Below are 13,831 nucleotides of genomic sequence, written 5' to 3' on the forward strand. Positions count from 1 at the left end.
ATCTGATTTAAAAATGGGCAAAAGGCAGAAGTTCCAGACCAGCCTGGCCAACATGGCAAAACTCCATCTCTACTAAAAATATGAAAAAGTTAGCCAGGCGTGGTGGTGCATGCCTGTAATCCCAGCTACTCAAGAGGCTGAGGCACGAGAATTCCTTGAACTCGGGAGGTGGAGGTTGCAGTGAGCCAAGATCATGCCACTGCACTACAGCCTGGTGACAGAATGAGACTCTGTCTCAAAAAAATTACTTAATTTAATTTAAATGGGCAAAAGGTCTGAATAAACATTTCTTAAAAGAAGACATACAAATAGCCAACAGATATATGAAAAAGTGCTCCACACCACTAATCACCAGAGAAATGCAAATTAAAACCACAATGAAATATCATCTCACTCAAGTTAAAAGGGCTTATCAAAAAGACAAAAAGTAACAGATGCTTGTGAAGATGCAGAGAAAGAGGAAGGCTCACACACTGTTGGTGGGAATGTAAATTAGTACAGCCACTATAGAAAAGAGTATGGAAGTTTCTCAAAATACTAAAAATAGAACCGCCATATCATCCAGCAGTCTCACTGCTGAGTATATATCCAAAAGAAAGGAAGTCAAAATATTGAAGAGATATCTGCAGTCTCATGTTTATCACAGCGATATTCGCAATAGCCAAGATAATCAACCTAAGTGTCCAACAACAGATGAATGGATAAAGAAAACGTGCTATATACACACAATGGAATATTATTTGGCCATAAAAAGAATGAAATCCTGTCATTTGCAGCAATATGGATGGAACTGGAGGTTATTATGTTAAGTTAAATAATCCAGGGACAGAAAGACTAATATTGCATGTTCTCACGCATAAGTGGGAGCTAAAAAAGTAGATCTCATGGAGAGAGAGAGTTGACTGGTGGTTACCAGAGGCTGGGGAAGGAATAGGGGGTGGGGGAATGAAGTGAGGTTGGTTAACGGGTATAAAATACAATTAGAAGGAGTAATGTCTAGTATTTGATAATCCAGTAAGGTGACCATAGTTAATAATAACATATTGCATAGTTCAAACTAGCTAGAAGACAAGGACTAAAATCCTCCCCACAAAAAGAAAAGATAAATGCTTGAGGTGATCGATATTCCAATTACCCTGATTTGATCATCACTTTTATGCATGTATGCAAATATCACGTGTCCCCAAAATATGCACAGGTATTCTGTATCATTAAAAAAAGACATAGAAGTAAAACTGCAGATTTAAGTCTTGTAATTTTGGAAAGCTTTTTCATTCAGTTCAACATTGGTAAACTGCTCATTAAGGACTGGCAGTTAAGCTTGAGGCTTTATTTCTTTTTCCACAAAGAGCTATGAAGCTGCTTAAGAGAGAGTTATGCCAAGGTTCTAAGCACCATGCAGTTTAAAAATGAAACTGAAATCTGACCTATGACAAGTCAAAGTAGAGGGACTTTAAAGGACCACTCAGATTAGTTATTACGCGTTCCTTCAAATTTGAGGCTATAGTGAACTTTGGTCATAGTCTTGCTTCTATTAGTTTCCCACTACTGCTATAACAAATTACCACAATTTTAGTGGGTTTATTATCTATATTTTTTTGAGAGCAGGTCTTGCTCTGTCACCCAGGCTGGAGTCACATTTTTGTCACCTTAGAGTTCTGGAGGTCAAAGCACTTTGGGAGGCCGAGGCAGGTGGATCACCTGAGGTCAGGAGTTCAAGACCAGCCTGGACAAACATGATGAAACCCTGTCTCTACTAAAAATACAAAAATTAGCCAGGTGTGGTGGCACACGCCTATAATCCCAACTACTTGGGAGGCTGAGGCAGGAGAATTGCTTGAACCTGGGAGGCAGAGGTTGCAGTGAGCCAACATCACACCACTGCACTCCGGCCTGGGCGACAGAGCAAGACAGTCTCAAAAAAAAGAGTTGTGGAGATCAGAAGTCTCCGTTCATCCATAGATAAGATCAAGGCATCAGCAGGGCTGTGTTCCTTCTGGGAGCTCTAGAGGAGAATCACCTCCCTTCTCTTGCCCAGCTTCCGAGGCTGCTGGCATTCCTTGGTTTCTCCCTCCAGCCTCTGCTTCTGCTATCCACATCTTCTTCTCTGATTCTCCTGGATCCCCTTTTACTTAGAGGAACCTTTATAAGTACATTTGGGACCACCTGGATAATCTGAGATCATCTCCCTGTTTTAAGATCCTTAATCACGTCCCTATCGCAGAGTCTTTTTTGTGATGTAAAGCAACAGGTGTTCATTGGTTCTGGGGATTAGACATGGACATCTTTGCAGGGAACAATTGTTCTGTCCAACCACTCCTGAGGAGCACCCACTGGCTAGCAGCTGGGCAGTGAGCCATGGGAGGATGTCTCATTGGGCAACCTGTGCTCCAGGGCCACATCAGGGCAAAAGATGCCTTAGTGTTTTCCATGGATCAGAAGTGGACAATGAGAGAGAGAGAGAGAGAGAGAGAGAGAGAGAGAGAGAGAGAGAGATTCCGTCACTGTGAGAGCAGGCAAGCCTCAGAGGAGAAAAGCCAAATATCACCATCTCCCAGGCATTAGGAAACAAGGGAAGGAGCAATGAGTTAGATCTGTGCTCTTCATGTAGGGCACGAGGATCAGGGCTGGTCCACTGACTGTTACTTGGTCTATGGTGGGAATAGTACAGAAATTGAAAGTAAGCTTTGCTTTGTTGTTATTGTTGAGACAGGGTCTCACTCTGTCGTCCAGGCTGTAGTGCAGTGGTGTGATCTCAGCCCACTGCAACCTCCACCTCTGGGGATCAAGTGATCCTCCTGTCTCAGCCTCCTGAGTAGCTGGGACCACAGTCACAGGCCACCACAGCTGGCTAATTTTTGTATTTTTAGTAAAGACAGTGTTTTGCCATGTTGGCCAGGCTAGTCTCAAATTTCTGAGCTCAAGTGATCTGTCAGCCTTGGCCTCCCAAAGTGCTGGACTTACAGGCATGAGCCAGTGCGCCCATCCCTCGAAAGTAAGCTTTTAGAAAATTTTATAGCAGCTTCACAGTAACTTTATGTCTATTCAATGTGATGATTTAAAATGTGGGCTTCTATTTTGTACGACTTTTTTTCATTTTATCTTCGCAGTAATTCATTTTTACTATGTGTTTTCAAAAGTATCAATCCATGGCAGAATGGAAATTAGAACAAAACAAAAACAAAATCCCTTGGTTCTTTACCACAGATGGTTTTTCAAGAAGTCCCAAGCTAGGAGAGAGTGTATTATTCACAAAAGGGAACTCTAGGTAATAAAGTTCCCCAAAATATCCAAGAGGATAGAATCAGCTTTAAATACCTGCCAGGCACAGAGTTCCGTGCCAACTCACTACACTATCAGTCTATGAAGAACTTTCCTGGCGCCCTTTCCCCTACTCCCGCCCCATGCACCAACCCCAGAGGCTTGGCATGCTGGGGAGGAGTTGGGGCATTGGGCATAGAAAGGGAGAAAAAGCCTGCCACTCCCGCTTCCTCCAGCGCAGCCTTCCCCATGCCAGGGGAAGGGAGAGGCTCCACTTTAAATCAAGTTTATTATTATTATAGGAGGCTAGACATGCTAATTACTGAATTGAGAATGTACTCTGCAGTTTCAAGACTTTTTTCATTGTGTAATAGTGACCAGAAAATTCATGAGGCCTGTCCAAGTTTTCAGCCAATAACAGGTCAAGAACAAACCCCACAGAATCATTTTAAAGGAACAGTTGAAGACTGGAATGGAAGTTACTTTCTGGTTTTTTCCCACAAGTTGTGATTGTTTAACCTAATAATTACATTACTCAGATATAGGGCAAGTCTTCATGTAGAGCCACTCAAAGTATGATTTAGGGCAGGGTTTTTCAACCTCAGCACTATTGCCATATTGGGCTAGACAATTCTTTGCTGTGAGGGAGCTGTCCCATGCATTACAAGGACAATGACCTCTAGAAAATCCACTCCAAGTTTATGACAGCCAGAAGTGCCTCCAGACTGCCAAATGTCCACTGGCGGACTAAACTGCCCCTAGTCAAGAAGCACTGATTTAAGGGAAGCAGTGTCTCTTCTTCCTGCCCTTCCTGCACCCAGTAATTACCTCCCTATCAAGCCCCAAAGCATCTGAAATTCCAACATTCAACACACTCTTTGCTCATTCCAGAAATACTGTTTTTAATTCAACATCCTCTGAGAAATGACATTGAGCTGTTATCATTGATAGGTTAGTGTGAATGGGATCATTAGATTTCTCTCTTACTGATTGGCCCATTATTAACTTACCGGTTGTATGAAGCCAAGCTGAGTGAGGCACAAAGATCTGGGGAAGCCTGTTGGTTTCTTCCACTGGTGAAACATCTCTTGAGACCATCTTCTCCCCAACGGCACCCCCGTACCAGTTCTCTCATTCAGGGACTCCACCTCTCACCTATATAATGGCAATTTTTACCATGTCCCGCTGCACCAGTTTCAGATCCCTCAAACTCATCCTCCACATTTTTCTAGGAATGATCTTTCTCATAGTCTTTAAAGACTTGCCATCACCCATACAAAAACATCCAAGCTCTTTAGCAAGACATTCACCCCAGCCTCCGTCCATAATGCATTTTTCTATCCCCTAAGATTTTGTTGTTGCTCTTCCCTTTCCCTTTCTCTTTCCTTCACCACCCATTTGTGTCCTAGAAAACTCCCACTCAACTTCCAGGCTCAATTTAAGCACTCAAGTTCTTGAAAATCCTTCTCTGATTCACTCAGCAATATTTAAGTGCTCCTTTTTCCATGCTCTCAGATAACAGTGAGTAGATCTTTAGTGCAGCACTTACCTCTTTGAATTATTTTCTCATTAGAATTTTGTCTCCCACTAAACCATGAGCTCATTCATTGAAAGTAAAAATTGTGGTCTGATTATTTTCCTGGAGAAGTTCATGATGCGGTTTATAGAGCACCATGATGTGATAGAGCATCATTGTGTCATTCCTCTGCGTCTCATCCATCCACTCTCAGTCTCGCTTTCAACTCTCAAACCTTGCAGGCCTCCATTTAGTTCTAATTCATCCTGCTCTCTCCAACCTCCAACCTCCCCATATGATCTTCTCTCCTATTTGCTATGCTCTTCTTCTTTTCTTACTGTTAACACTGTCTCTGAAAACTCTGCTCATTTTCCACCTCTTAGCTAAATGTCGCCCTTTCTAGGAACTTTTCCCTCAACTTCCAGACCAAGAGAGGTCCCTCTGTTTCACTCTTCCAAGGCATCCTGTGCTTTGTTTTGTACTATTCTGTACTTATTACAATTTGGCTACTGTGACTCTCATACCATTACACTTGGGTTTAACAGATGTGCTATTACTTTAATTTTCTAAATAAAATTCAATCTGATTTCTGAGCTTCTCACTCACCAGTGTAGGAAAAAAAAATCAAAATCAGTCATGTTTTGGCAGGCCTTCAAGAGCACAGAATTCTGGAGGCTTCTGTAGTGCCTAGGACTTGCGGTAAGAGTTTCTAGTCTTCAGTCCACTGTGGTCAGAGGTCCCTGCTAAAGTACTGATTATTCATTGTATGGTCTATTCAAAGACTGAAGGCTTTGGTGCTTCATGCCAAGCTTTAGGGCTCCATCAGGCTGAGTGTTGTGACTGACACCCAGGGTTCTCCCTCAAGTTGCACCCTGCAGCCACTTTCCCTTGAGGCCCCAAGACTTCCCAGTGCCATTGTGATTGCAACTTTTGCTTGTAGCCTCCAAGCACCAATCTCACCCCTAATATTTGCAGAGTAAAATGGAAGCTTATATACCATATGGCAAAATATTTTCTTCTTTTTCTTTTCTTCCCCTCCCTCCCTTCCTTCCTTCCCTTTTTCTTTCTGGCAGGGTCTGCATCACAGCTCACTGCAGCTTCCACCTCCTGGGTACAAGAGATCCTCCTGTCTCAGCCACTTCAGTAGCTGGGACTACAGGCATGAGCCACTGCACCCAGCCCCAAATATTTTCAAAGTTGCAAACCAAGCCAATGAATTGTTAAATAAAATGTGTTCTATTGCTGTATGCTGACAAATATACCTACATAATTTCCTAAAAGGCTAAATTCAAATTAAGAATTTTTACATTCCTTGGAGTCCCGTGCTAGAACATGGTGGCCTGGTAAGTATAGATCCCTATCCCACACCCCCACTGCATCTCGCCAAAGGGCCTCGCATGCCTGTGTGTGGTTCTTCAGCCTGCAGAACCAGGCTGTGTCCACACCCCTGAAAATGGCTATTCTTTGGCCTCCCTTTGGTCCTGGGGTGCTCAACTGGTGGCACAATTGGATGGACCTGAAGGTAGGGCTGTTTGGATTGAGAGTTCTGGGCCCCAGGAGCCCAAAATGTAGCCTAAAGAAGAAGGCTTAGGTTCCAGGTGGACATATTCCCTTGGCTGCATAGATGCTTTACCCTGGCAAAGCAGGAGTACCCAAAGGAGGGCCAGGGCAGAGCCCTGTAAAGTATGAGTCCAAAGCAAGGCCTGTCTTGCCTGAGTCTGACTGCAATCCTGAGATCACATCCTACAGCACTGCTGGAACCAACAAATCAGTAAGCAACAAGAGGCATCAGAAAGTAAACTTTCTCTGGCCGGGCACAGTGGCTCACACCTGTAATCCCAGCAATTTGGGAGGTCAAGGCGGGTGGATCATCTGAGGTCAGGAATTAGATACCAGCCTGGCCAACATGGTGAAACTCTGTCTCTACTAAAAATACAAAATTTAGGTGGTGCGTGACTGTAATCCCAGCTACTCGGGAGGCTGAGGTGGGAGAATCGCTTGAATCTGAGAGGCAGAAGTTGCAGTGAGCTGAGACCGCGCCATTGCACTTCAGCCTGGGTGACAAGAGCGAAACTCCATCTCAACAAAAAAAGAAAGTAAATTTTCTCCATATGATAAATCAATTGAGAGTTGATATTAATGCTAATTTAATTGACATTGATATGTGGAAACAAAGCTAAAGGCCCATGAGTATGTTGCTAAGCCAATAAACAAACTCACTGTTTCCAAAGTTGTATAAAAATTATTAACAGGTCTTATTAGAAGAAAGTATTCAAAAACAAAATGTTTGAAAGAAATACATAATTTGAAGCAAACATTTTTTCTTTAATGCAGAACTTCTAGGAGGCTTTTTTTTTTTTTTTTTTTTTTTTTTTTTTTTTGACAGCGTCCCACTCTGTCGCCCAGGCTGGAGTGTGGAGTGCAATGGCGCAATCTCGGCTCACTTCAACCTCCGTCTCCCAGATTCAAGCGATTCTCCCGCCTCAGACTCCCAAGTAGCTGGGACTACAGGTGTGTGCCACCATGCCTGGCTTTTTTTTTTTTTTTTGTATTTTTAGTAGAGACAAGGTTTCACCATGTTGGCCAGGCTGGTCTCAAACTCCTGACCCAAGTGATCCGCCTGCCTCAGCCTCCCAAAGTGCTGGGATTACAGGTGTGAGCTACTGCACCTGTCCAGGAGCCTTTAATATAAGAATGTGGCCTGTGAATCCCCAAATAGACAAATAAAGTAAGTTATATTTCGCAGACTTGTATGATGTGTGTGTATGTGTGTGCATGCATGTGTGTATGTCTGTTTGTGTGTGTGTGTATATACACATGCCTGCACATGTATGCATAATATATCTCTTGGCAGTAGAATTCTGAAAATGCTATCAATCCAAAAAAAAATCACTGTATCAGAGTTCTTGAGTACACAGGATAGAAACTACTTATGGCCAGTTAAAAAAAAAGGAATTAAGTGGAAGGATATTATGGAGCCTTCAAGTCTCCAGTCTGAAAAGCAAGCAGCTTGGACAGTAGAAACCACAGCAAGAAGAGCCCTGCCCTAGAGCTACAGTTACTGAGATCAATGAGTTCCCAATCGTCTTCATTTCCAACATCATAGGGAGATGCTCACAAATAGTAAGTGAAAAAAATAAGGAAAAAGAATATGAGCCCAATTCAACAGAAAGAAAAAGAGAAAGATTTACAGGAACAATCTTAGTAGGAAATACAACAGAATGTTAGCTGTGCTTTTCTCTGGGTAATGAAGTTACAGGGTATTTTTATTTTATTTCTGTACATAAATTACATCTGTAATTATAAAAAACAAATATTTTTCAAAATACTTTTGCCAAGTCTAAAAGAAAAATTGTTCTAATGCCAACATTTTGAGACACAGTCCATTTTCACAATATTCAAATCCTTCCTGATTTCATAAACTTTGATGAGTTGCTCTAGTTAGCAGATGACCTTTTAAGTTTTATCATACTTTAGGATTTCTGGTCCAATAAACATTTTTAAAGTTCTTTCTTAACTTTCATATGGAAAAATAGGACTTTATAAAATCAGAATTCCTGTAAATTATTGGCATTAGTGATATACCAAGTCCCTGCTGTCAATAATTAGTATAGCTGCCACTAGCTGATGCTATTGGTAGAATCGTGTGACAAGGAACTCTCCATGGTGCTTGTATACAACTTCAGATGAGACCACTTCACATATAATTTCACTTTTTCCAAACAAAATCAGCTCTTTATTAAAGTAGCAACATAAATATTAATAAGTTTATTCTTTATTAAAAAGAAAGTAGGATTAACAAATAACAAAAACCTCACAATACTATCCTAAATAATACATCAAAAATAAAATAAAAACAGTAATATAATCCATTATTTTTAAATAGCAACAATTAAGAGACTACATACCAAAACTTTTGAGATGCAGTCAAAGCTGTGCCCAAAGGCAAAGTTATAGTCTTACGTGTCCTATTATTAAATTAAAAAATGAAAATAAATGAACTAAGCCATCAATTAGTACAAAACATTCATAAAGCAACAAAATAAACATTAAAAATAAGGAAGGAATTAAAGATGAAAAGTTATATTAATATTATAACAAATAGAAAAAATAGAACTGATGAAATACTCAAGTGCTGGTTCCTTAAAAAGACTGGCAAGTCTAATAAAAGAAAGGAAAAAAGTAACTAAAAAGACCAGAAATGAGAAAGAAGCAATAACCAGAGATACAGAGAAAAATATTTTTAATTATAATTATATATAGACAACAAATTTTAAAATTCTCTGAAAATGCATGTTTTTCTTTAAAAATATGATTTTTTAAATTGATACTCAAGAAGTGACAGTAAAACCATAGAAAAAGGTTTTTTAAGTTTTCAGAGAATTGTCTTCTACTCATCCTCCCTTAAAGAGATTGAGGCCTAAACAATGTTATGGGTGAGTTTCTCCAGACCCCAAAGAATAGGCAATTCATATGCTATGTACCAATCTAGGTTTTTAAGCTGATAAAGGTAGAATTCAAAAATGTAAAACTACAACCCAATCTTATTCATAAATATAAATGCAATAATCCAAATAAAATGTAAGAAATTGAGTTCAACATTGTTACAAGAAAAAAAGGGAAAAACCACCATTATTTAACAGGATACATCTCATGCAGAAATAATCCAGTATTGAGAAACTACTAACATAATTTATTGTGATAATAGGCCAGAGAAGTAAAATCACATGATCATTTCTAGTTGCCTAGAGTATGCTTAATATAATTGAACAACTTCTAATAAAATGCTTAGTATATTTGAACCATCAAACCACATCTTTAACATGATAAAGACCTGTATTTCAGTCTAAGAGCTAACATTTAAAAGCTGGTAAAATTTAATGGCATACCTAACAAATCAGGAATAAGGGCAAAGTTATTACCATCATTTATTTAACACATGAGGTATAAATATTATAAAGGAAGAGAGAAAAATCACCATTAATTATACTTAAGAATGATTGGCTACTTAGAAGAGAATCAACTAGGGAGTATTAATGAAAGAGTTCAAAAAAGTTATCAAACACAAAAATAAATAGCTTGACCCCAGAAGGAGTAGCCACTAATAAAAAATGATGGAAAAATGATCCCATTCAAATGCAACAAAGAAATGAAATATCTAACAATACAATTAATAAAAATATGCAAAACATACAAAATTACTAAAGAACATTTGGAGATTGTCTTCAGTAACCTTAACACATGACAAGTTCCTGAATAAGAAATTTAATATTACAAAGTTGGTAATTCTCCCCAAATTAGTCTATATTGTTAAAGCAATTCCAAACAAAATGGCAATAGAATTTCTTTTGGAATGTGACCAAAACATAACTGAAGCTTATCTGCGAGAATACATGAAAAAATATAGCCAAAAATATTTAAAAAAGAAGAGTAACATTTACCCCCATTGAAACTTAACACACAGTAAAGCAAATGATAAAATGGCAATAATTAACAGCATGGTTAAGGAATAGAGGATATAAAAAAATTAAACAAACAACAAATTCAGAAACCGCTCCAAGTGTGTGTAGGAATTTAGTATTTGATAAATGTGGAATTTTTAAAACAGTAGAAAAGTGAGTTTTCAATAAATGATGATACAACAACTAAATAAATATTTAGACCCTTAATCACACCTATATCAAAAATAAATTCCATTTGGAGTAAAAATTCAAATCTGAAAAAATGAAATAAAAAATAGACAGATATTTATATAACACTGGGAAAGAGAAGACCTCTTTAAACATAACACCAAAAGCAGAAATCATGAAAGACTGATTTATCTAAATAAAAAATGCAATATTTCTGTTTATCAAAGACATCATGGATTAAATTGATAGATATCTGACAAAGAGCAAAATGTCTGCAGCATGCAGAACAAACAAATGGTTAGTGGTTTCAATATATAAAAAGTTCTTACAAATCAATGAAAAGTGAACCCTCAACAGAAAAAATATCAAATATGTTCATTCATTCCTTCAACAGATATTTCTTGTGCACCTAATATGTGTCAAATATTGTGCTACAGGCGGAGAATACAATGTTGAAGAATCTAGACATCCAAACATGGTCTCTTCCTTTATACATTCTAGTATGGGAAATAGACCCCCCCCCCAAAGGTAAATAAAAAAATAAATAACACTACAAGTTGAGATACAGGATTAGAGTGATGAAGGAAACAAAGGACTGATACAGCAAATGGGAGGACAGAAAGGGAGGGTCTACTTTCAATAGAGTGCTCTGTGCAGAAATATAACAACTTTCTCAAGATGTTATATTTAATCAGTTATCTAAAGGATACGGTTGTGGTGGGAGAGAGGGTGGCTGTGAAAAGCAGCTTAAACAGAGACAACAGCATTTCCTAGGCCCCTGAGGTGCAGAAAATATCTTGGCATATTGGAAAAAGCAGTGTGGCTGCATTCGAGTGGGCAATAAAGAGAGGAGCATAGACGGGGGTGGAAGGATAAGTAAGGGTCAGACTGTGCAAGGCTATGTGAGCCATGGTAAAGGGGTTTAGATTTTATCCTAAAAGCAACAATTTGCTTAATTCAATTTGTGAGAAAGGTTGTTGCTACCACTCTATCAAAAACGTATTGGAGTGGTTAAGAGTGGTAGCAGAGAGACCAGGTGGGACTGGTGTCACAATATCCCGGTAGGAAAGAATAGACAACTCCATTAAAAAGTTTAGTTCTAAAGGAGAGCTGAGAGATGGTTCACAGATGGAGAAGACGTGCACGAGGGAAGGTGTGGTTAAGATGAAAGACACTGGAGCATGTGTGCAGGGAATAATCCATTGAGAGGAGGCAGGATTGATGATGCAAAAGAGAGAAAGGGGAAAACCTAAGGAAGAAGTCCTTGAAAAGGCAAGGGGGCTGGGATTCGGGGCATGACAGGAGGAGCTAATCTGTGAAGCTCCCTCTATTATCACAAAAAGGAAGGTTACCAAGGTAACTGGGTTGGAGGATCTTGTGGTGACAAGATGAGAAAGTCTGTATGTAGTAAATTCTGTTTTCTCAGGCAAATGTGAAGTAAACAGGGAGGAAAAGATCAGAACATTTTGAGGAGATGAAAAGGTATGAAGAGTAGTCTCAGATGTGGAGAACTGAGACTACAGTAGGAACAACAGCACCAACTTGAGGTTTGAGTTAATGGATTGGAAGTAAAAATGAATTGGCTGAACTGTGTACTTTTCTCAAAGAAAATGTTCAGTTGTCCCAGTAAGGCCCATGGAAGGCAGATGGTAAGATTTCTCCAGAGTTGAGATTTTGCCAGGAAAATTAAGAAATTGCTGTTCAAGAGTGCTGAAAGCAATGCATTTCAAGGAGAATGATCATGATAATGGATCACAGAATCTAGACTAAGCAAGGACGAGAACGCAAGACAGGGGCTGATAAACAGTGGGGAAAAAATGAAGCAACGAATTAGCTGTCAGTGAGCAAGGAATCTAGGATAGGAAGATGGTGATCAGAGCATGGAATGTCTGATGATGTGCTAGTTCAGGTCCTCTTAGAAGCAGACACCAAGACAGGGTTCAATGTGCAAGAGTTTTATTAAGGGAACTCCTGTGAAGGATAAACAGAAGGAAGCAGGAGCGGGGAAGGGAGACTTCATATCATAATACAGGTCTGACACCTGTGAAAGGAGAGGGGAACTGGGCCCAAGAGCCTCAGGCTGCATGCAGCATAGTTCTCAGAAAGTTTCAACCAGCCGGCTCAGGTGTTTCCAAGCCAAACTTGCTCATCAGAGGAGTCCTACATCTTCCATGAACGTGCCACCACCAACACCCCGTGCTGTGCCCGCTCACTGACTGGGAGTAGTGCCAGAGAAGCATGGCTTCAGTGCAAACCCAGCAGTGTATGCCTTGGGAAGGCAGGGGGACCTGTCAGTCACTTCCGCTCCGTGGAGCAGGAGATCTGAGAGGCCATGGTCACCACAGACAAGACTGTAGAGAGGATGCGGATTCTAATGATGACATGGTCTAGAACTGTGGTAGCAAGGACTGATTCTGAAGGGGAGAAATAATTACTGGAGATGAAGTTACAGGAAGGAGGGGACTGGATGTTGGAGTTCAAGTTCAACCACAGTTGTGCATAACACAACTCCAAGTTGTGTCAAGCACCCCACAGTCACTGAGGATTTGGACAGTTATTAAAACAATCTTCTGGCAGATGGCAATATTTGGGGTTGTGGCGGGGGGGTGGGGAGGTGGGCGGGGGGAAACTAGTTTGTCGATGCCAGGATTTGAGGTGAAGGTTCAAGTAGGAGCTAGTCTTTGAAGAACTAATCATGACAAAACTCACTAGGAATAGGAAATCTATAAATTACAGGCTGAAAGGAAAAGGATGGTATTGTCCAGTGACAAGATTCTCAAAGAAGCCGGGATTTTGGCAGGCAGAGGACGTGCTGCTCTGCGAACAACCACGACTCGCACGGAGGCCGCCCCCAGCCTGTCCCTAAGGCACGTGGTCCTCTAGAGGGCTTCGCGGGAGAGTTCTGGCTCAAACCAGGGACGGCGAGGGCAAGGGGTGAAAGGGGTTTGAGGCGAGGCAGAGGACTCAGGGGTCTGCGGACGGCTGGTCGGCCCGTGGAGACGGCCGCGGCGAGGCGCCTGAGGTACGGCGGTGCGGAGCGAGGGCGAGGTCCCGCCGGCGGCCAGGCGGCGGCGCTCACGGAGCCGCGGGCTTCCCCAGGCCCCGGGCAGCGTGCTGGAGCTCTCGGGCGGCGCCGCCGCGGAGCTTGGCGCGGCAGCTGGCAGCGGCCTGACGCGTGGTGACGGCGCCCGCGGGCAGGCAGCGGCTCCCGGGGGCGGCCGGGCGCAGGGCGGCGGCGCTGCGGGACGACGGCTTCGCGAGGCTTCGGCCCGCACGGGTGGCAGCGGTCCCCAGGGAGGAAAGACAAAGATATGCGGGTTAGAAACCAAGGAAAGAGCGCCGACGCCTCTCAGCCCCGCAAGAGCTGCAGACCCACGGGCAGTGCGGTGCCACTTTCGCCCAACAGGGTGCCAAGAGAGAAAAC

The 13,831-nt window shown here is 41.5% G+C and overlaps 1 protein-coding gene across 8 annotated transcripts in view, besides 1 other annotated feature; it reads right to left on the bottom strand.

Annotated features, from left to right (window-relative positions):
- Positions 1-8,484: 8,484 nt before the first annotated feature.
- The window catches only part of ZNF800 (zinc finger protein 800), a 49,850-nt gene continuing 44,503 nt past the window's right edge, over positions 8,485-13,831 (bottom strand). For all 8 annotated transcript variants that reach the window (XM_011515859.4, XM_047419942.1, XM_006715868.5 and 5 more), the window contains one exon: positions 8,485-13,669. In XM_011515859.4, the coding sequence (XP_011514161.1) occupies positions 13,483-13,669 (187 nt within the window). In that variant the 3' untranslated portion in view covers positions 8,485-13,482. The remainder of the gene's footprint in view (positions 13,670-13,831) is intronic.
- Positions 13,387-13,756: a silencer, noted in NCBI's record as "silent region_18591". NCBI's record gives its function as "represses an Ori minimal core promoter by ATAC-STARR-seq in GM12878 lymphoblastoid cells {active_cell/tissue: GM12878}" and the evidence as "EXISTENCE:reporter gene assay evidence [ECO:0000049][PMID:35858748]".

The sequence above is a fragment of the Homo sapiens genome, chromosome 7 (genome assembly GCF_000001405.40).
Source record: "Homo sapiens chromosome 7, GRCh38.p14 Primary Assembly".
In the NCBI taxonomy this organism is placed as follows: Eukaryota; Metazoa; Chordata; class Mammalia; order Primates; family Hominidae; genus Homo; species Homo sapiens.